This window comes from Homo sapiens, chromosome 1, assembly GCF_000001405.40.
Source record: "Homo sapiens chromosome 1, GRCh38.p14 Primary Assembly".
Classification (NCBI taxonomy): domain Eukaryota; kingdom Metazoa; phylum Chordata; class Mammalia; order Primates; family Hominidae; genus Homo; species Homo sapiens.
In genome coordinates, this window is record NC_000001.11 from 62,255,324 (window position 1) to 62,278,866 (window position 23,543).

Consider the following 23,543-nt stretch of genomic DNA (forward strand, 5'->3'; position numbering starts at 1 on the left):
TAAGTAAATGACCCCACCTCTCAAGGGTGATGGGAAAATCAAACGTCTTTGTACTGTTACTTATCTGAAAAAATTATGTTGCTCTTTTTATTTGTTTGTTTTTTTGATAGGGTCTTGCTCTGTTGCCCAGGCTGGTGTGCAGTGGTGAGATCATGGCTTACTGCAGCCTAAACCTCCTGGGTTCAAGCAATCCTTCCTTATGTAGCTCCTTTGGGCAACAGAAAAACAATTACACTTAATCAAGTCACTTAGCCTTTCTTAGCATTTCCTTCTCTATAAAATGGGGATAACAACACAACCTACCTTATAGGTGAAATTTATTGAGTTTATTTATTTATTTATTTATTGAGACAGGGTTTGGCTCTGTTGCCCAGGCTGAGGGTGAGTGCAGTGGCACTCACTATAAGCTCTGCCTCCTGGGCTCAAGTGATCCTCCCACCTCAGCCTCCTGAGTAGCTGGGACTACAGGTGCATGTCACCATGCTCAGCTAATTCTTTGTGTTTTTTATAGAAACAGGGTTTCACTATGTTGCCCAGACTGGTCTCGAACTCTTGAGCTCAAGCCATCCATCCACTTTGGCCTCCCAAAATGCTAAGATTACAGGCCCGAGTCACTATGCCCAGCCTAATATATTTAAAGCACTTAGAACAAGCTTGTCCAACCCATGGGCCATGGGGCCACTTATGGCCCAGGACAGCTTTGAATGTGGCCCAACACAAATTCATAAAGTTTCTTAAAGCATTATTTTTAGCTCATCGGCTATCATTAGTGTTAGTGTATTTTATGTGTGGCCCAAGACAATTCTTCTTCTTCCAATGTGGCCCAGGGAAGCCAAAGATTGGATACCCCTGACTTAGAATCATGCCTAGTACACAGTAAACACTCGGTAAGAGTTCACTGTTATTACTATTATTGTCCAGAATGATATTCTCATAAGGTTTAGGTATTCATTGTAAAAATATGGTTTATGAAAAAAATGTCAATTAGTGCTATTTGCAAGTTCTGTGCAAGTGGAAAAAAGCAACATTTGTTTGATATTCCCTCCACCCCACAATTTTCCTTTCTTTTTTTTTTTTTCTAGATGGAGTTTCACTCTTGTTGCCCAGGCTGGAGTGCAATGCTGCTATCTCAGCTCACTGCGATCTCCGCCTCCCAGGTTTAAGCAATTTTCCTGCCTCAGCCTGAATAGCTGGGATTACAGGCATGAGCCATCACGCCCCACTAATTTTTGTAGTTTTAGCAGAGATGGGGTTTCTCCATGTTGGTCAGGTTGGTCTCGAACTCCCGACCTCAGGTGATCCGCGCACCTCGGCCTCCCAAAGTGCTGGGATTACAGGCATGAGCCGTCGCGCCTGGCTACCCCATAATTTTTCAAACAATTTTTCAGAAGTGTGCCATGAAAATACCAGGCCGTCAGTGGAGACAGAGGCATCAGTCTGTCTCATTTATCAGCAGTTTTCCCTCAAGCTCCTTGGACCACTGCCATGAGCCGGCAGGTGATGGAAGCTAAATAACAACTCCATACATCACCTCATAGCTCTGTCCTGATACGGAAGTGAACGTTTGCACTACCTTATTAATAACTTTATTTCTACACCTTGATTATTTTCTGTTTGCTTTTAAGATGTGTAAAGGAGCCTCAGCTTATCAGTTCTCTTTTATCTCTTTAGAAACATGATTTTTAGCTCAGTAGAATGAGGTCTGACACCTGCTCAGGGGCTCAGGAAAGGGACTAGGAGGGGCTAAGGACCCAGGATTTTATTTATTTACTTATTATTTTTGAGATGGAGTCTCACTCTATTGCCCAGGTTGGAGTGCAGTGGTGTGATCTCGGCTCACTGTAACCTCCGCCTCCTGGGTTCAAGCGATTCTCCTGCCTCAGCCTCCCAAGTAGCTGGGATTACAGGCATGCGCCACCACGCCCGGCTCATTTTTGTATTTTTAGTAGAGATGGGGTTTCGCCATGTTGGCCAGGATGGTCTTGAACTCCTAACCTCAGGTGATCCACCTGCCTTGGCTTCTCAAAGTGCTAGGATTACAGGTGTGAGCCACTGCATCCTGCCAGGACCCAGGACTTTATAGAAGATACTTCAGAGCAGCCATCAGGCAGCAAAGCCAACTCTCCCTGGAGGTGACAGAGGAGCAAGGCTCTCGACAGAGCATCCTCTGACTCAATAAGCCCTGCAAGGGCATTTGGCAAAATAAAGGACGGATCACTTGGGGTTGAGCCGGCAGAGGTGCACTCTGGCTCTATTCTCAATAATGAGTCACTTCTGTACACCCCTTTACAGTTTGTAATTTTTTTTTCTGGATGCTTAACAACTGCTTCTAAGGACACCCCAGGTTTGAGAGTGTGACAGATCTGTCATCCTCAATATCCCTTCTACAGAAGAGAGAAAGTAACGACTCTCTCAACCCATTCTCCCCAACCCCCTTCTTACTTTACCTTTATGCTATTTAGCTATTTCACTATGTTAAAGGGAAAAGTTCCCAAACCACTTTAAAGTCGATGAGTATTAAGTGAATTCTTAGCATCAGCAGATATTTATACCACCCAAATTTTAGTTGTCTCTTCTCTGTCCTGGCCTGGCCCACCCAGAAACTTCTAACAGGCTACAAGACTGTGAGCTACCTAAAGACAAGGGCCATATGTTACCAGTCTTTGGATTCTTCATGCACATAATGGATGTTCCCAAAGTCTCAGTGTCCCAGAAGCATAGATAGGGTAGTAGAAAAAGCCCAGATTAAGAGACTGATCGATCTTGGTTTGAATTCTGGATTAGCTTCTTACAGGCTCTGTGACCTTCACTGCATTACCTGACATCTCTGAGCCTCAGTTTCCTCACTGGAAAAGGCAATTAAGATCTGCTTCACAATTCCTGCATGGATTGTACATGACAGTGTATATGTATATCACACTAAGCCCAGTGTCTGGGATGAGGATGACATTGAAAAAGCAGTAGCTGCTTTATTCACATTCTACACTGATGGCTTCTAACGTTGAATACAGTAACAGAACACAGAGCCATGCTCCATTTAATTATGTGCCTTTCTCAATTGATCTACCATTTCGATGGTATCCATGCATCCATGAAGAACTGAAATCAATAACATCAGCTCACTGTTAGCTATAATTTAATCTTCTTTTGATGATGTGAAAATCAGAAACAACTTCAGGCTGTCATTATGTACGTTGCCTTTCCCGTTCAGCTGAAGAGACTCAAAGCTGCTTAGCAGAATTTTGAAGACTTGGAAGTTTACTGGAATTTAACCTAGCTCCCGAGAGTCATCCATCGCTCATTCATTTAACAGACGTTTTCACTCAACACCTACTAGGAACCAGGAACTGGTCTAGGTGTTAGGGAAACAGATAAGACAGACAGGAGCCCCTTTTGAGTGAATTAACATTCTGTTGGGTAGAAATGAAAAGCAAAGAGTGTCTCAAGAAAGAAAGAGGGTTCTCCCCTAGAGAGAGGTAGGGGCAGCCACTTTAGACAGAGGCACCAGGAAGACTTTTGAGGAGGTGACATTGGGGCTGTGACTTGAATGACGAGAAGGAGCCAGTCACAAGAAGAGCCTCAGGGGGAAGAGTCCAGGTAGAAGGCAAATACAAAAATCCCAGGAGGGAATGACCTTGGTGAGTGAGGCCAGCGTGGCTGGAGTGGAGGGAAGGAGGAGAGCGTGGTGGCAGCAGAGACGGCCCAGGCAGGTGGGAGCCAGGGCAGGTGGGGTCCTGAAGGCCAGGCTGAAGAAGCCGCCTCTCATGCTAAGAGCAATAGGAGGCCACAGGAGGGATTTCAGCCAGACAGGACCCAAGTTAGGGAAAGCCGTTGGATCCTAAATTCAGACTTTTGATGTTCATTGAAATTCCCACCTGAGGCCTCCTAAAAGAAGAGTTATGCTCTACCTCCTAGATGGCAGAAATGAAAAGAGGAATGGGACCGACTTTTCTTTCTTTCTTTTTTTTTTTGAGTCCAGGTCTCGCTCTGTCACTCACACTGCAGTGCAGTGGTGTGATCACGGCTCACTGCAGCCTCAACTTCCTGGGTTCAAGAGATCCTCCCACCTCAGCCTCCTGAGTAGCTGGGACCACAGGCGTGTGCCATCACGCCTGGCTAATCTTCGTATTTTTGGTAGAGATGGGGTTTCACCATGTTGCTCAGACTGGTCTTGAACCTCTGAGCCTAAGCGGTTCACCCGCCTCAGCCTCCCAAAGTGCCAGGATTATAGGCGTGAGCCACCGCGCCTGGACCAGTATTGACTTTAAACCCTGGTAGCACACTTAGTTATTGGGTGATCTAGGGCAAGTTTGCTGACTTTTCTGAATGTCACTTTCATGGTCTGTAAAGTGGGATAATCATCCTATTCTAATAATAAATTTTTATTATTAAATGAAATAATTATATTCATTATTATATAAATTATAATTATAAAGACAATATAATTTATAATTAATATAATTTATAAATATAATTTATCATAAATTTAAATTATATTTAGCAGGTGCTAAATACTTAGCAGAAGGCCACATCTGTGGGGATCATTTGGGGTTTTAAACCTCTTGTATGTACCCTGCTAGACAGCCCCATACAGCTTTCCTAAACTCATAGATGACATTTGACCGAGGCCCATGCACTTTCGCTCAGCCTCATCATGCACCTGTCTTTGATTGACTGTTAACTACCCCTTTCCAGTCTGTAACCCTGATTCTACTCTCACTTTCCTGAGGAGATCGAGGCCATCTGAGGCCAGTGGCCTCCACCTCCCTGCTCTCCTCAACATCTCTCTGCACTGTTACCCACTTTCTCCTTTTTTTGCTTCCATCTCAGAGAAATGAATAGCCCAGCGTCTTGCTTCGGCTGCCCTCACCTGCCTCCGCTGTGGAGTCCAGGCTTTCCCGGCTCCTCCCAGACCTTGCTTTGCCAAGTGGCTTCTCTCTTTTGTATCTTTCACCTTCCTCCTTCTCTCTCTCTGATTCTCTGTCAGTCTCTATCTCTTCCTTTTTCTCTCCCTCTCTCTCTTTTTCTGCCTGTCTGTCTCTCATTCTCTCCCTCTCCATCTCTCTCTTTGTCTGTCTCTCTGTCTCTCATTCCCTGTCTCTGTCCCCCACCTTATCTGTTCCTCTTCTTTCTTGGATTCTTCTTCTCAGTCAAAAAATATGTTCAGAGCTCCTCTCCCCAAACAAACACACAAAACCAACTCTCCGAAGGCTCTCCCACCTCCTTCAGCCAAGACACCCCATCGCTGCCTTCCCCAAGCCTGTCGCTTTGCTCCTTCCACTCTGCTAGCTGGTTTCCTCCCAACATGCCCCTAAAGCAGCTGTCTCCAAAGTCACCAGTGGCACTCTCCGTCCCCTCCATCTGCCAAACCCAGGCATCATCCTTCAGGGACCCTGCAGAATCTGACACAGTTGACAATCTTTGTTTTTCATGGGCTGTTCTTCCCCATCAGCCACAATCCTCTTATTTCTTCTAGTTATCACACGACTGCCTGGGTCTCCTCCACTGACGTGCTCTCTCTCTCTCTGCACAGGATAACCAAGAGCAAAAGAGGACTCCTCTCCTAAAGGCCTCATTGCATGTGCTCTGGCTGGCCCCACCCAAAGCTCTGTTGCCCTTTCATTTTGCATCTGGAATTCTCAATAGCCTTTGCACATTTCCGCAGAGATGATCCACTGGAAACTAAAAATCTGCCCCAAACTGAATTATCCTTTCTGCTTCCTCCACATTTGGTCCTTCTCCTCTTGCAGCCCACTGCCTTCTCAACCATCCAGGCTTGACAGAGAGCTCCAACTCACCTCACCAGTCCGGCACTACCCTCCCAATGGCTTTTTTTTTTTTTTTTTTTTTTGAGACAGGGTCTCTCTCTGTTGCCCAGGCTGGAGTGCAATGGCACTATCTCAGCTCACTGAAACCCCCACCCACCCCATGCTCAAGTTATTCTCCTGCTTCAGCCTCCTGAGTAGCTAGGATTACAGGCATGCGTCACTACCACCCAGCTAATTTTTGTATTTTTAATAGAGAGAGGGTTTCCCCATGTTGGCCAGGCTGGTCTTGAACTTCTGACCTCAAATGATCCACCCGCTTCGGCCTCCCAAAGTGCTGGGATTACAGGCGTGAGCCACCATGCCTGACCTCCCAATGGCTTTTTGCTGTTTGGTTCCTACCATCCTCACCTATTACAAGCCCTCACTACCTCTCTGTGGACCTCTGCAATGGCCTCCTGTCTGCCCTGCCACCTCCTCTCCTGCTCCCTTCACTAACCCACCCCTACTGTCAAATGACTCTTTTAGAGAATTACCCTGGTTATGGAGTTTCCTACAAAAAAATCTGCACTGACTTCCTGGGACCTTCCAAGCAGGGTTCAGCCTGGCACTCCAGGTCTTCCATTTCTCTATGTGGTGGCTCCAACTCACCCTTCCAACCTTAATTCCCATCCCATCCAAACTAGAAGCTTTCTAGTCTCCAGGCATTTTTCCCTGTCTAACCTCCATGGAGTTCCTTCTGCCTGGAAGACTGTCTGCCTGCTGGAGCCCTACCTGCTCCAGTGCACCTTTGCCGCTCCCTGAACTAGACACGCTCTCATTTCAGTTCCTAAATTGCATTCTCTATCTCTCTTTCATGAGCCACCATCCAGCTCCATCCCAATTGCTAGGCTGTGAGCTCCCAAGAAGCAGAGGGCTCACCTAGCTCACCTTTGCATCCCTGGTAGTAGCCAGTATGGACCTCATGTGTAGTCAATAAATATCTAATGAAAGATGAATGAATCAAGTTGAGTCAAATTGGTCAAATGGAGCCATGACCTTTGTTAAAAAGTATCTTCTGAAGATGGGAAAATGCCATTTTCCCTAGAGGCAGTACGGTATATAGCTCTGGAGGTGGACAGAGTACAAAACCTGACTCTACCCTTGACCAGCGCTGTAACTTGAGCAAGTTTTATAACTCTTGAGCCTCAGTTTCCTTAGCTGCAACATGAGAACAATACCCACATCACAGGAATGCTGTGAAGAACAAATGAGGCAAACACAGGCAAAGTGGTCTAGTCCAGTTCCTGGAACACAGAGGGAACTTTCAACAGTGAAGCATTTCCTTGACAGAAAGAAATGTGGTATAAGAATTGCCCTTCAAGTCATTCCATCAAAAAGACACCTGCATTTATATGCTATCACAGCACAATTCACAATTGCAAAGACATGGAATCAACCTAAATGCCTGTCAACCAATGAGTGGATAAGGAAAATGTTATATATATAAAAAATAAATATATAACGTATACTCACATATACATATAATAAAATGTTATATATACGTATATGCACAGACACACATACATACATTCCACGGAATACTACTCAGCCAGAAAAAAGAACAAAACAATGTCTTTTGCAGCAACTTGGATGGAACTGGAGGCCATTATTCTAAGTGAAGTAACTCAAGAACGGAAAACCAAATACTGCATGTTCTCATTTAAATGGGAGCTAAGCCACAGGTACACGAAGACATACAGAGTGGCATAATGGACAATTATACCAGAGAGTCAGAAGAGGGGAGGGTGGAAGGCAGTGAGGAAAAGCTACCTATTGGGTACCATGTATGCTATTTGGGTGATGGGTATACTACAAGACCAGACTTCACCACTGTGCAATTCATCCATGTAACCAAAAACCACTTGTACCTTTAAAGCTATTGAAATTTTTGAAAAAAATTTTAAAAATTGCCCTGCTCTTCAAGGAGGGACCCAGACTGTATGAATGCAACCACTTCTGACCTGTCTCCAGCAGCAGCTTCACGATGGAGAAGTTGGAGTGGGACACGCTGTAGTGAAGGGCCGTGTTCCCGTTGTGATCGGCCAAGTTGACAAGCAGTTTCAGGAAGTGTGGGGAGTGAGGCTGGACCTCGTGGAGGTAGGAGGCCACCACGGCGGGGCTAGACGACTTCCGGCTGGAGACGCGGAACCACTCTTGACTGATGGTGTTCAAGCTTTGCCTCTGAAACCCCAAAAAAGACCAATTCCAAGAGGTTCCCCGGCCAGCAAGAGTTCCTCCCTTACACAAGGAAAGACAGCTTTGGCCTCTGTCCCTGCAGCTCCCTCCAGCTTGCCATGTGATTTATTCCTGAAGGGCTCAGAGCTGGTGGGGTTAGGAATGCAGCAACATACTTTGTACTTGTGCGATCAGCCCCCTCTGGGAGTGGAAAGGAAGACTGGGAGGACAGCCTAGTAACCAGTAACAAGGCACTTAACTGGAAAAAGTTTGAGTCTGCGGGAAGTTTAGCTCACACCCCCCAGTAAGAAGTTTAGCTCAAACCCCTGGTATGCGCACAATTACAAAGGCCCTCTCCTTCCCCCTCACACAGCCAGCCCACAATGACCTTTCCCCAGACTCTATCAGGACACCTGCGTGTGTTTAATAGGCATAGCTGGAAAATCGCAACATCTTACTAATGGGAAACATGCATGCGAAGGCAAACAACATCTCCAATTTATGCTTGAAATAAAACCCAAACAGGTGTGCTTGACATGTTTGGCTTTTAAGCTTTCCAAGGACCTTGAGAGTAAATGGTTTAAGAACCCACGGCAGGACCCTGCTATCTGCAGCATTCAGCTCCTCTGGGACCATGAACGAGAAGAGTTCCAGAGCCAATGACATCAACTCTTGTGTGTGACATGAGCTCAGTGTTTAAAGGGTATTTACCTAATGGGGAAGAGAAGCTATTGAGAAATGATTATGATAAATGATTGCATACTCATGCTGGGAAGAGTCCTAGACTTGGGAGTCACTGAATCGATGTGACACAGTTTAATCCCTGGCTCGGCCGGGCGCGGCAGCTCTCGCCTGTAATCCCAACACTTTGGGAGGCCGAGGCGGGTATATCACCTGAGGTTGGGAGTTCAAGACCAGCTTGACCAACATGGAGAAACCCTGTCTCTACTAAAAATACAAAATTAGCCGGGCAAGGTGGCTCAGGCCTGTAATCCCAGCTACTCAGGAGGCTGAGGCAGGAGAATCGCTTGAACCCGGGAGGTGGAGGTTGTGTGTGAGTGCACCATTGCACTCCAGCCTGGGCAACAAGAGCGAAACTCCGTCTCAAATTAAAAAATAAAAATAAATAAATAAATAAAATCACTGACTCAGCTGTGGGACCTTGGAAGTCATACAACCTTTTTGATCCTTACTTGTCCTGTTATAAAATAGGAGTAAAAGGGGACTGGCCCCTTACCTTCCATGGCTCTACAGAGTGAGGTCCTTACACACCTGCTTCTTCCTCTAAGATGGGGGCAAGGGAGACAGTATCCGGTGCTTTGATCCTAACATGGGTGTGGTGCCGGGCTTGCATATCCTCTGATCACTTTTCTAGAGCAGAATCAGTGGAATCTTTTGTGGCTGAAACACTTTAATAAATCAGAGTATCTCCTTTATCCATGGGATCTTCAAGAAAATCTGGAGAAAGATCCTAATATTAAGGAACAGAGGGGTGGATTTTGTTTTTTGTTTTTGTCCGTTTGTTTGGTTGGTTGGTTTCTTTTGAGACAGAGTCTCGCTCTGTGGCCCAGGCTGGAGTGCAGTTGTATGATCTCAGCTTGCTGTAACCTCCACCTCCTGGGTTCAAGCAATTCTCCTGCCTCAGCCTCCCAAGTAGCTGGGATTATAGGCGCGGGCCACCACACCCAGCTAATTTTCGTACTTTAGTAGAGACAGGGTTTTGCCATGTTGGCCAGCCTGGTCTTGAACTCCTGACCTCAGGTGATCCGTCCATCTCGGCCTTCCAAAGTGCTGGGATTACAGGCGTGAGCCACTGCGACCGGTCGAGTGGTGGATTTTGAATGAAGAGCTAAGAAAGACCTTAGTTCGATAATTCAATTAAGAATAAGTGACAGGAGTTTTGATCAACATCCACATCACATATTGGTTCTTTTTTTTTTTCTCTGTGTTTTTGTGACAGGATCTCACTCTAGTGCTAAGGCTGGAGTGCAGTGGTGCAATCACAGCTCACTGCAGCCTCAACCTCTGGGGCTCAGGCGATTCTCCCACCTCAGCCTCTGAGTAGCTGGGACTACAGGCGTGTGCCACCATGCCAGGCTAATTTTTTGTATTTTTTTGTAGAGACAGGGTTTTGCCATATTGCCCAGGCTGGTCTCAAACTCCTGGGCTCAAGTGATCCACCTGTCTTGGCCTCCCAAAGTACTGGGATTACAGGCGTGAGACACTGGCCCTGGCCCTACATATTGGTTCTTTAGGGAACAACTATTTGTCAAATCAGCTAAGATAAAATAACAAAAATGAGTTGGGTAAGAAATAAATGCTGATGAATTGATCGTTTTTACTTCTAGGGCTCTTTTGCAAAGGAGAGCAAAATGGCTTTTAAAAATGCTTACGGGTTGTTCCACCATGGGTCTTACAGCTGCTCTCATAACTTGGGAAAATGTGTCTGTGCCAATATCCCTTGATTAAAAGTAGAATCACTATGTGTTTAAATCTCTGTAAGCCATGAAGGTGTGAAGGAGCCAATGCGTATTTTCTTGTTTTCAGTCTCTTGACCCAGAGGTACACTTCAAGAAAAACAGTAATGACTACAGAATTAAACGTCAGGGTTTGAGAGGAATGGAAACATGCCATCCACCACCTTCATTTTATTGATGAAGAAACAGAGGCCCTGAGCATCGAACTGACTTGCCTAATATCTCACAGATGAGGGTCCTGGGAATAGAACCTTCAGTTCCCATTCTACATGCTTTTCACACTCTGTCCACAGTCCTCTCAAACCACAGGGCCATCGTGAGCCTAAGCCACAGAGTTTGATGACAGACACTCATGGTGCATTGCCTAATGACACATGGGAAGCGCCTCTGAGCCCCCGGCCTGCTTTCTTGTGCATATCCATGGGCTCCACTTCCTCAGTGTGACCCATCACTTCAGGCAGCAGTGCTTGGGTAAAGGAGAGAACACCCAGAGGAAATGGGCCCTGGCCTGCACACTCACACCACTGCCTCACACTGTGCACTGCACACTCACGCCACTCACACCACTGCACACACACCACTGCTTCACACTGTGCACTGTACACTCACACCACTGCCTCACACTGTGCACCGTACGCTCACACCAATGCACACCCACACCACTGCCTCACACTGCATGCTCACACCACTGAACATTCACACCACTGCCTCACACACACACCACTCACACCACTGCACACTCACACCACTGCCTCACACTGCACACTCACACCATTCACATCACTGCACACCCACACTACTGCCTCACACTGTAAACTGCACACTCACACCACTGCACACTCACACCACTGCCTGCCTCACACCACTGAATGGGACCAAAGTCACCCTGGCAGAGCTAACGTCTTAAACAGAAGGGAAATCTTTACATGACAATGAAAAATTAGAGTACCAAGAGCTGGTCTGTGGTGGTCCCAGTTTCTGGCAGATGCTGGCTCAGTGCCCGGCATGCATTAAGAAATTCTTCTGAGGGTTTATATCTAAATAAAACAAACATATATACACATATTTATATAATCATTTTCAAGTTGATAAACAAGACTTTCACTCTCCTCCTCTTTCACATCTCAGCAGCTCAAAAATCCAAACTGGGCAACTGCCCTAGGAGAGGGTGAGCTTCAAAAATCTGGAGTGACCATGGTGTGTGCCGATGTGACTTGGCTTCTGAATGCTTCTGAAGATGAGCCGAGTGTGTTGCCCATTTAATCCTGCTTTTGTCAGGGGCTGGGGCCAATAACCAAAGCATTTAGGTGGGGGGTCGTGGTAGGGGGTGGTGGACAGGCCCACCTGCATTTCCTGGCATGCTGGGAAGGGGAGGCCTGTCTTTCTGACTTTGAACCAAACATTTTCTGCCTGGGTGACTGGAAAAAAAAATCAAAGAATCCAATCCATACCAGAAACTTTCTTCAGGTTATTCTTCCATGAAGGACACCGTAAGTACTAACAGAGTCAGTAATATGAGACTCGTTGAAGCTGGGTGTCCACAGTGACAAGCACTCTTCCTGTGTTGATCTGAAGGCAGGCTCAGCACCAAGAGGCCTCAGGTGAGGCTTAAGGGCACTGCTGGGCTCAAACTCCTAACCTCAAGGGATCCTCCCATCTCAGCCTCCCAAACTGCTGGGATTACAGCTATAAGCTGTGGTGCCTGGCTGCTCCCATCACTTTAAAAGACACATCACCAGCCAGGCACGGTAGCTCATGCCTATAATCCCAGCACTTTGGGAGGCTGAGGCGGGTGGATCACAAGGTCAGGTGTTCAAGATCAGCCTGGCCAACATAGTGAAACCTCGTCTCTACTAAAAAATACAAAAAAATAGCTGAGGATGGTGGTGAGCACCTGTAGTCCCAGCTACTCAGGAGACTGAGGCAGGAGACTCACTTGAACCCAAGAGGCAGAGGTTGCAGTGAGCCGAGATCGTGCCACTTCACTCCAGCCCGGGTGACAGTGCAAGACTCCGTCTCAAAAAAAAAAAAAAAGACACATCACTTTAAAAGCCAGCATGGTCAACAGGACAGGCAGAAAAGCTTATGGGTAACAATGAGAAGGACTGGGGCCAGGGTCCCTATTCTGCTAGCTGCGTCCCCACACTTCCCTAAGTCTCTGTTTCCACAACTGTAGAGTGGGGAGGTCACAATAACTTCTGTCCTGCAGGACTGTTGGAAGTTGTGTATATAGGATAATACTTGTAAAGTCCTTCACAGTTTCAGCACTAGGTAAATGTTGACTTTACAGGTAGATATCGGCTGTGACAGTACATTCCACGAAAGCAGGAGCCATATATCTACTTTATTCAACCAGTGCACAGTGTGGGCATGAAACAGAGACTTAAACAACACTGGCAAATGGATGGGTACATGAATGAACAAATGATCGCATGAACGGGTAGATATATGCCCTTGACCTTTTTCAGAGGAACAAGTGCCCGCGTTTGTGTCCATTTGCTCACCTCTCGGCCTTGGAGTGGGGGACTTCTTCCCCAGGCCCACTTTCCTGGGCAGCATGGCAGGTGCCCTCAGGGATGCCCTGCCCAGCCTCGCAGGTGAGATGGGCATCTTTGACATGCTTGTGATCTGGGCCGTCACACTTCTTCTCTGCCTCGCTGTCAGACAAGTCCTCTGGGGTGCTGTCCTCACCGCTGGTCTCCTCACTTGAGGTGGTCTCATACCTGGGGTAGAAAACAAAGGTCACTCGTCCTGTCTTTCCTGCCCAGTGCCCATGTCAACACCAGTGAGAGCTGGGTGGGCCTCGGGTAACACTCCGCAGCTTGCTAATCTCCTCCCCCACTCTCTACACCTGCCGGCAGGGTGACAGGCTCCCAGGAATCTTGGTGTCAGAAAGACATGCAGTAAAGGGCCCTGGCTCTGGTGCAGAGAGGCTATTTGGGGAGACTCAATTAACTGTGCTTATTGTCAAAATAATTAACTGTGCTCATTGCAGCAAACCCACGAGCAGCCTGTCCCCTCACTGGCTGATGCGTTCGGTGATCTAGACAGGCCATCCAGCGTTCTCATGAAAGCATTTGCTTGTGCAATCCTAACGTTAGGTCCGGAGAGGGGCCCAACTCTAGCCAAACATCCCCACCTCCACCCTGAATTCACCAAGTTGCCTGCAAATCTTCACATCTCTGGATGAGACCGAGACCTCCCTTCAGACTGCTCCAGCCCAGCTTGCACTTGGCAAGGCATGAACTCCTCCACACCTACATCCAGTGCTCTGTGGGATACCCCAGCACAGCACCTGCCTGTCTTTGCTGCAGCCTGTTTGAACTATTGCTTGGAGCAGCAAAAAGGAGAGCACAGGCCACTTGACTCGTGGCCCTCTTTCCTGGTAGTGACGCTTATGCTCAATTATAAGTGACTCTGTTGAGTTGGCAGACCAGAGGCCATGGAGGAAAGTCCTGGAAGATTTATTGACTCCTCTACTGATATTCAACAGGAGATCCCTAATGGAGAATGCTGGTGGTAAGATGATTTCAGGTTCTTGGGCCATTGGACACAGCCACAGAGACTGGTGGCCATGGCCTCCATTGAACCCCCTAAGGACCCTTCTCTGAATGGTGGCCTCTACATAAGCCCCTGTGCTCAATGGATTTGTAAACTGAGTCTGCTCCCTGCTATGCTTGCATTCTGTCTCACTTAAACCCCAGACATTTCTTCCTCTATTATGTATGGAACAGCCTTTCATGTTTGTGATTAAGAGAGTGGAGGGCATATTACATTTACCAAACAGTGCTCATCTTGGAACTGCTTCCATAAAAACTTTGCCTGGAAGTTCACTTATTCATTCAACAGGAATTTATTGAGCACCTACTATATGCCAGGCGCAGTTCTAAATCCTATACCAAAGTCCCTGCCCTAGTGGAGCTTATATTCTAGAAGGTAGAGTCAGAAAATGAACATGTAAACAAATATTATATTTAGGTAGTGATAAAAACAATGAATAAAATTTAAAAAAAAAGAGCCATGGGATAGAAGGATAAGAGGAGTGGCTACTTTAATTAGAGCAGAAGTTCCTAACCTTAGTGGTACATTAGAATCATTTGAGGGTGTTTAGAATTCCCAGTATGTGGACTGCACAAAGACTAATTAAACCAGAGTGTTCAGGGAAAGGATTCAGACACTGGGATGTTTTAAAAGCTCCCCTGGTGTTTCCAGCGTGCAACCAAGGCTGAGAATCACTGTACTGGAGTAACAAATGCTGAGGAATGTCCAGGAGAGGAGGCCTTTAGCAGGGAAACAGCAAGTGCCAGGGCCCTGAGATGGGCCTGACCTCAGCCTGTTGGAGGGAGGGAAGGAACGGCAGTGGCAGGGGCTAAGGCTGGGCAGAGCCATGATTTGGTTCTTCCACATTTGGATGCAGAGTGGGGACCATTGGGGGCGTTTCAGCTGGGGAGAGACGTGACCTATACTAGGCTTTGAGATTAGGCTGATTCTCCTTTTCTGTACATGAACTGTGAAAGCACATGATCCCGTGTCAGATGTTAGTGGAAGTGGGAACAGCAACCCTCCTGTGACACCCAGTTCATCATTTTTTTTCTTTGCTTTGCTTTTTTTTTTTTTAAGACTGAGTCTCGCTCTGTCACCCAGGATGGAATGCAGTGGCACAATCTCGGCGGCTCACTGCAACCTCTGCCTCCTGGATTCAAGCGATTCTCCTGCCTCAGCCTCCTGAGTAGCTGGGACTGCAGGTGCATGTCCCCACACCCAACTAATTTTGTATTTTTAGTAGAGATGGGGTTTCACCATGTTGGCCAGGCTGATCTTGAAATCCTGGCCTCAGGTGATCTGTCCACCTGAGCCTCCCAAAGCGCTGGGATTACAGGCATGAGCCACAGCGACTGGCCCCAGTTCATCATTTCTGATGTTTCCCCTTGTTGGCGTCTAATGTCTTCCCTTCTGGTGTGACTCAAATTAGCAGGGATTCTGAGCTCTCTGGGCAGCCTTCAGGGTTTGGGCTTCCACAGCATCCTGTGCTTCCTCACCTAACAAAACTTATCTCAGCACATCAGCATTTCATCTTTATTTCTGTTATCTGTGAGCTAAAGGCAGAGACCTTTATTTATTTGACTTTTTAATCTCCACGACCGAGCACACTGTTGGCATTTAATAAATGTTTGTTGAATGACTGATTTAGAAAATATTCTAAATCAAACATTCAATTCTATAGAATATATGAGGTTTTGTTCATGTTCTAAGCCAATAGTCTAGTTGTTTTTCTTCATCCCCAAACACTTGGGTTTGGCTTGCAGGAAGTTAAAGAAAGAAAAAAATTAAATGGATGAAATTTGAAGTTCCACGAATTAACAGAATTTGTACTAGTTTCAGTTTTATGGTTCAGGTTAAATGTCTTCCTCTAAGGGCCCGTATACCCCCAAAACTCCCAGAAGCCACCTGGAGTCCTGGCCCTGGGGAAGACCAAAGCCAAGACATATTAAAAGCAGAGGTTCCAACAGACCACCACAGCTGGCAAGAAGCCAAACGCATGCAAACCCGAGATGGAGTTTTAAAGGGCCATTGAAATTAATTCCCTTGAAGAGGAATGAAAACCAGATGCCTCCCCCTAGGAAAAGAGAGTGCAAAGGACAATAGCAGGAGAGGTAGCAAGAAAGGCAGTCTGAGCTTCACAAGCGATGCTTACCCACCGTTAACCCCAACAAACTGAAGGTTCTTTTTGGTCCCATTACCTCCTGCACGGAAGCCATAGTCTTTCTTTTTCATTATGGATTTAAGGCTGGTCGATGGGGAGATCTCTAGGCAGACACAACATCACAGGTTAGAATGATCTTGGGGATGCATGGGAATGTAGCAAAACCAGGATATTGCTTTGAGGGGACAAGGGTTGCAGGTGTGTGGAGAGGTAAGGAGGGACAGGGAACCAGATCATGTAAATCAATGTTTTGGGGACCTCTTGGAGGAGCCTTGCTTTCTGCTCAATGTTGGGAGAACTGTCTCTGTTAACAATGCCCCTCTAAGTGTGGATGAAGAACCATGTGGCGTAGGTGCCATTGTTGTCCCTGTCTTACAGCTGGGAAATCTGAGGCCCAGACTTGCTCAGTGAATGGGAGTGTAGGAGCAGAACGTAGGCCTCTGGACTCATGGTCTAGCACCCACTTCTGCTCAAGGGCACCTCAGTGGTCCTTCCTGGCTCACAAGTGCATACTGACACTAGGGTTGTGGGGGTGGTGATGACACCGTGCTCACAGTAGATACACGAGCAAGGACACAGATCTTGCAATGTGCTCAACAGGACAGGAGGCGGCTCCCAACGGGGAAGGCTAGAACTAGCACTGAAACAATGAGAAAGCAGTCAAATTGTGATTTGTGGCAGGAAGCAGACTCGCATGCTGCCCTGCAAAGCAAAACGTGGTTCCACTTTACCCGACAGTGAAGAGGGTTTGATCTGTTACAACAGGAAGTGCTGCTCAGCCGAAGGGCCCATTTCCATATGTGAGCAGCACTTAATCTCCTGCCCCTGTACACACACACATGCACGTACACACACACATGCACGCAGAGAAAATATTCAGTGAACTATACCAGATATCAATATAATGCTCCTCCAAAACCAGGCCAGAGAAAACCTCTACTATGCAAGAACCAGAGAGGAACACAGGAATGCAAAAGCCCAGGAAGAGGTCTGGAGTCCACGCAGCAGGGCCATTCTTGGCCCCAGACACTGCCTTTGCACAATGCAAATGAGAACAGCCCCCTCTGGGTGGATGTGGTGCTGCAGCGCAAGGCTTGGCAAATGGAGTGTGGGCTGGCTTTCAACTCTCATTTGCCCTCCCTGGCTGGCATCTTTGTGCCCTGTGCTATCCATACAGCTGTAGGCAGTGGGCCCATAGTCAGACCCAACCTTAGAGCAAAGGCAAGAGTAGAGGTCCCGAGCCTCCACTGTCACACACATCAGTTTTTATTCCACTGGGTTCCTGGAAGTACTAAAATCTTTTTTTCTTTTTTTTTTTTTTTGAGATGGAGTCTTGCTCTGTCACCCAGGCTGGAGTGCAGTGGTATGATCTCGGCTCACTGCAACCTCCGCCTCCTGGGTTCAAGTGATTCTCCTGCCTCAGCCTCCCAAGTAGCTGGGATTACAGGCTCCTGCCACCATGCCCGGCTAATTTTTGTATTTTTAGTAGAGATGGGTTTTCGCCATGTTGACCAGGCTGGTCTTGAACTCCTGATCTCAGGAGATCTTCCCACCTCCGCCTCCCAAAGTGCTGGGATTACAGGCCTGAGCCACTGCTCCCAGCTGCTAAAATCTTTTTAAAAACATGTTAATATAATTGAAAACCTTGTTCCCTCTGCCTTATCATGTGAAGGAGAAATGGCTCCCTGTCTCAGGCCCCTATATTGATGGTATTTACCCACTGGCGGGGAGGAGGAGGAGGCCGGTGGCTCCTTGGGTGGGTGAGCCTGGGCCGAGTAGGCCGACAGCAGCAGGTTGAGGGAGCTCAGCAGCTGGCTCTGGATGCTGCTGAGCTTGGAGGCTGGCTGCTTGATGGCGCTGGCCAGCTCCGGGTACCCATGCTCCAGGCAGTTCCACTGCTCCTGCAGGAGCTCCTGGATCTTCTTCACATACTGCCCAATAGTGGCATCCGTTGGCGAGCTTGGTGGCCTTCCCGGGTGCTCCTTCCCTGGGAGATTGGAACTGGTCTCCTCCCTCCCTGCTGGGGGAGTCTTTCTGTCGCTGCCCCACAGAAAGCCTCCTGCTCCCCTGGTTCCTCCCTGAGGGCCTCCTTCCTGTTCAGTGCCTGCTTCTTCAATCCTGAGTTCAGTGGAGAGGAAGCTATGTACAGAGGAGGTAAGGACCTGCTCGGGTCCCTGTGGCAGTGACAGCTGGGGCAGAAGCACACGTTCTGCTGGGCTCTGATTCCCTTGTTTATGACCATCTGGCCCCCATAGGAGGCCATTCTCCTCTCCTCGGTGCCCCCAGCTTTCAGACTCCATGCTGCCTAGAAGGTTGACTTCAATGCCCTTATCACACGACTCCCTGGTCAAGAGTCCATGGACAGGGTCAGTGTTCACCATCACGTCCGTCTGGCCCTGAGTGTCTTTGGCGTTCTCTTGGTGAAACTGTCCTTCCAGTTGGGCTACAGTGAACTCCAGCTCTCGAATTCTTTGCTCCCTAGCTTTGATTTCCTCTTCCTGCTGCTGGAGAGCAGTTCTGACCTGTGCCAGTTCCTCGGTTCTTCCAGACAACTCTCCCTCCAGGGCCGAGACCTGCTGTTTCAGGCTGGAGATGCTGCCTGGATCCACCCTGGCAAGGCCCAGGCTTTCCTCAGTTACCCTGATGCCAATGCTTCTCATGTCCACCTCTACAGGTGGCGGGGGTGGAATCTCGCTGATGTTGAGCTCGATTTCTTCCAGGAGGAGCTCATTCTCAGGGATGGGTGATGGCAGAGGTGGCGGGCTTGGCGTAGGGGAGCCAGGGGTGAACAACACCTCTGCTTCTCTGGCATTGTGTTCATCTTCCTTGTCCTCTAGAACTACAAGCACATTCTGGAATGAGAAAGGAGGGCCTGGGAGAGGGAGGTGATTTGGAACCTTCACCACACCCTCTGGAGGCTCAGCTCCCTCCTGGACCAGCTCTGGAATCCGAGTTGATGCTCGTGGGCTGGAGCTGTGGAAACCTGCCAATCCTTCTGCAGGTTCAAAGGTGCCATCACAGACACTGCCTTCACCCTGAAGGGGAGGGAGGGCAGGAGGGGCAGGGGGCCCCAGGCTCAGGCCTGGCTCCTCAGAAGCCCTGCTGTGCAGCAGCGTGGCAGGCATGCTGGATGCTCTCAAGAGCTGGGGCCGTCCACTCCCAAAAGTGAGCTCGGCATCCTCTGGCTCAGCAGCTTCCAACTGTCTGGTGGCCTCTGCCAACAGAGCCTTCCTGTGGTAGCTCACCTCACTCCTGCTTGTTGAGGCCTGGGGGGCATTACCAAGCGGTGGTGACTGGTTTTGCTCCTGTGTCCCAAGTGATGCCTCCCTTGGCACCACGGGAGACCAGTTTTGGAGGGGCGGGGCTGCAGGGGGGCGAGCCCCACTGTCAGGAAGGCTGAAGTTTCGGGGCAGAGTGCTAAATTTGGCCTGCTTGGCCCTTCTGTGGATAGGAATTCTTTTGATAGTGTTTCCCTTCTCGATGTCATCCACATACTTGAGGAAGTCCAGGTCTAAATGAAAGCCATATGGGGTCTCCACAGAATAAGGGTGGCTCTTCGGAGGGTCTTTCTCTTCATCCCCCTGAGAGGACTGGTCTTTGGCTGGGAGACATAAGACAAGTTAAAAAAAAAAAGCACAAATTTAATTAAGCATTACAGGGCGATGAGGCCTAATATCTCTGATTTTAACTTAACGCTGTCACTTGAGACTTCTTCTAAATGTTCTAGCCTCGAAATTATGCTGAGATGCTCAGTCTTTTTGGCTGTATTGGAAAATCATCTTATTAAATCAATGTGTACTTAGCCAATGTCTGCAAGGAAACAGGGAGAGGGAATGGTTTCCAATTTGCAGTATGTCATCTGGGTTTCTACTGGGGAATCTGCCTGCAGACTGGCAAAACCAAATGGTCTTGTACTGCTTTTCTGGGTTTGAATCACATAATTGCTGCACTGAAGTAGCCAGGAATTTGCCAAATCAGGGTACTAATTGGCAATTACGGATATGGAAGGGTTTAAAGGATAAGATACACAAGTGGCTCAGCAGTAAAAAAGAAATCTGCAAAAACAACCCTAACTTGCATGACTCAAATTGGTAGAAGTAAATCTTGCTAAAGCCGGAGGTATCAATGAGTTATGCCGTTTACATTATTTAAGCTTGTGCAGATGCCTGCGCCTCAGGTATGCACAGATCAGAGAGAGCTGGAACAAGTAATCATCCATGGCCTACGCTCTTTGCATGTGAAAACTGCCTAGTGCTTAACAAACACGAAATTCACTTTCATAAACCCATGCCAAGTAAGGAAATACCTACTTTGGCCAGTAACTCAATGAAGAAAGAAAGAGAGAAAGAGAGAGAGAGGGAGGGAGGGAGGGAGGAAGGAAGGGAGGAAGGAAGGGAGGAAGGAAGGAAGGGGAAGGGGAAGGGGAAGGGAAGGGAAAGGAAAGGAAGGGAAGGAAGGAAGAGAGAAAGAAAGAAATCGCATTTTTCACACACTAGATAAAAGGTGGTAAAAGGGCCAATTAATGTCAAAAGGGACATTGGTATCCATCCTCCAAGAAGAATGGGACTTGACTTTCCAGGGCAACCCATACCCTGGGGGGCCATCATGATGAGGAAGTTCTCCATTACACCAAGGTTCCAGGATCTCCTTGCAGCATCCACCTGTTGACTCCAACAGAGGACACTGGAAACAAGCCAGTCCTTCGACTATCTGCATCCATAGGGGCCTGTTGCCAAGCAACCTCTTCTTCAGGTTAAATAGTCTTTGTTTCTTCAATATTCCTCATGTGACGCCCCTAATTACCTCTGTGACATTATGCTAAACAGGCTCTGAAAATATTGAGCTCAGGAGAGAACGTTAATGGAGAGTACAGAGGTTCAGAATACAGATTCTGGAGCCTGGTCTAGATCTCTGCTGTGTGACCTTGGGGAAGTTACTTAGCCTTCCTATGTCTCATCATCTGTAAAGTGGGAATAATAACAGGTAAAATAAGATTATTGTGAGGACGGTCGGGTGCGGTGGTTCATGCCTGTAATCCCAGCTCTTTGGGAGGCCGAGGCAGGTGGATCACTTGAGGTCAGGAGTTCGAGACCAGCCTGGCCAACACGGTGAAACCCCATCTCTACTAAAAATACAAAAAGTTAGCCGGGCATGGTGGCAGGCACCTGTAATCCCAGCTACTCAGGAGGCTGAGGCGGGAGAATCGCTTGAACCCAGGAGGCGAAGGTTGCAGTGAGCCGAGATTGCACCATTGTACTCCAGCCTGGGCAACGATAGCAAAACTCCATCTCAAAAATAAGACTATTGTGAGGACTAGTTAATTAATAATAAAGTATTTTGGACAATGCCTCACACATGATAAACATTCAGTTTATCTTTGTGGAATCCCAAAATATAGACAATGGAAGCCCCATAATGGAAAGTGACTTATATGACTCACTGCTGGTCTCCACAAACATGTTGTGACTGGTTGATTGCTTGGTTTTAAGGGTAGTAGGCCCTAGGTTAAAATTACAAAATAGCTGTGATTCAATTCACTTACCTCAACCACCCATTTATTGAGCACCTATGTGCTAAGCTAGACCCTAAGGACACCAAGATGAATCAGGTTCAGCCTCTGCCTTCAAAGGATTTATGATGAGGCAGGAGAGACACAAACACATACAATGCAGTGAGATAGGGAGAGTAACAGATGCATGCTTATAGTACAGGCTTCTTCCCTGACTTATTTTTCTAGTTTCTGCAGAATTATTTTTTTTGGACTTGGAAAACAATTTTTCCTAGGTAGGAGAGGGATGAGTTTACATAAAAGTGACATAAGACTGGGTGATAAATGAACAAATAGGGACTTGCCAGGAGAACAAAAGAGTAAAAGACATTGTAGCAATTTATCTTCAAGATGACCACCACCAATTCCTACCCCCTTTGGACAAGCAAGCTTATTTTATAGTTAAAGGTGGAGTCTACAATTCCAGGCCTTTGAATCCGGGTTGGCCTGCAACTGCTTTAACCAAAAGAATATGGCAGATGCTGAGAGATCTTGAAGGCTAGGTCATAAGAAGCCCCATAGCTTCCACCTGGGTCTCTTACAATGCACACTTATTGGGAAGCCAGCTGCCGTGTAATAAGTCCACCTTTCCTGAGACTGCCATGTTGTGAGGAAGCCCAAACAGCCCCACAGAAAGGTCAAGTGGAGGGAGGGAAGGAAATGCCCAGTCAGCCCCAAGCAGTTCCAGTCACCCTAGCCCAGATGCCATGCATGAGTAAAAAAGTCTTCAGCCTTCATCTGACTTTAACTACAGGAGGGACCCCAAGTGAGAATCACTGAACTGAGCCTGTATTAATAATAAATTATTGTATTAAGCCACCAAGTTTTGGGATGGCTTGTTATGCAGCAATAGATAGCCAAGACAGAAAATCTAGATCTCCACAGAGAATGTGCAAAGGGATGGAGGGTGAAATCACACAGTATTTCAAAGTTCTATAAATGCAGCTGATATGGCCAGTACTTAAAACATGGTAGAGAAAGATAAAATTGGAAAGGACAGCAACAGCCAGATCATGGAGCAACTTGTATGCACGCGAACAAGCTTTGACTTTACGCTCTAGGTCATGGGAGTCACTGAAGGGTTTTAAACAAGGGAGTGACTTGGTTGAATGTGATTTCAAAAAGAGCATCTTGCCAAGGATTAACAGAAAGGCAAACCAGAGGCCCCAAGATCAGCTGGGAGGCTGCTGACATGGTTAAGGTGAGAGGAGCTCAAGGTAATGGAGGGAAAGGGACGGGTTTAAAAAAGTTGCAAATGGTGGCATTTCCTGGGGCACATTTTCTTTCTTCCTTCCTTCCTTCCTTCCTTCCTTCCTTCCTTCCTTCCTTCCTTCCTTCCTTCCTTTCTTTCTTTCTTTCTTTCTTTTTTTTTTTTGAGATGGAATTTCGTTCTTGTTGCCCAGGCTGGAGTGCAATGGTGCAATCTTGGCTCATTGCAACCTCCGCCTCCCAGGTTCAAGTGATTCTCCTGCCTCAGCCTCCTAAGTAGCTGGGATTACAGGTGCGTGCCACCATGCCTGGCTATTTTTTTTGTATTTTTAGTAGAAAGGGGGTTTCACTATTTTGGCCAGGCTGGTCTTGAACTCCTGACCTCAGGTGATCCACCTGCCTCGGCCTCCCAAAGTGCTGGGATTACAGGCATGAGCCACCACGCCCGGCTGACCCACACAATTTTTTTTTAACCAACTTGCTCCCCCACCTTCCCATCCCCTCGCAAAGAAACACACTGGCAATTTTAGTAAATGAGAGCAATATCTTGTATTTCTCTCCATTAGTTTTCCAAGTTGCACTGGCTGTACTCTTAGACCTACTGGTCTGCTCAACAGCCCCAC

The 23,543-nt window shown here is 47.4% G+C and overlaps 1 protein-coding gene across 9 annotated transcripts in view, besides 1 other annotated feature; it reads right to left on the reverse strand.

Annotated features, from left to right (window-relative positions):
• The window catches only part of KANK4 (KN motif and ankyrin repeat domains 4), an 83,270-nt gene that overhangs the window by 19,159 nt on the left and 40,568 nt on the right, over positions 1-23,543 (reverse strand). For 6 of the 9 annotated variants that reach the window (XM_011540845.4, XM_017000483.3, NM_181712.5 and 3 more), the window contains 5 exons: positions 17,881-19,764; positions 16,155-16,266; positions 12,964-13,182; positions 11,409-11,496; positions 7,769-7,988 (listed from right to left, as the gene is read on the reverse strand). In XM_011540845.4, coding sequence (XP_011539147.1) covers positions 7,769-7,988; positions 11,409-11,496; positions 12,964-13,182; positions 16,155-16,266; positions 17,881-19,764 — 2,523 coding nt within the window. Of the gene's footprint in view, positions 1-7,768; positions 7,989-11,408; positions 11,497-12,963; positions 13,183-16,154; positions 16,267-17,053; positions 17,517-17,880; positions 19,765-23,543 lie in introns of those variants that run through there. The other 3 variants (NM_001320269.2, XM_017000484.3, XM_017000485.3) reach the window with 2 other exon arrangements.
• Positions 12,753-13,253: an enhancer, noted in NCBI's record as "H3K4me1 hESC enhancer chr1:62733748-62734248 (GRCh37/hg19 assembly coordinates)". NCBI's record gives its function as "activates a minimal SCP1, AML or CMV promoter by ChIP-STARR-seq in naive H9 embryonic stem cells {active_cell/tissue: H9 hESC(naive)}" and the evidence as "EXISTENCE:reporter gene assay evidence [ECO:0000049][PMID:30033119]".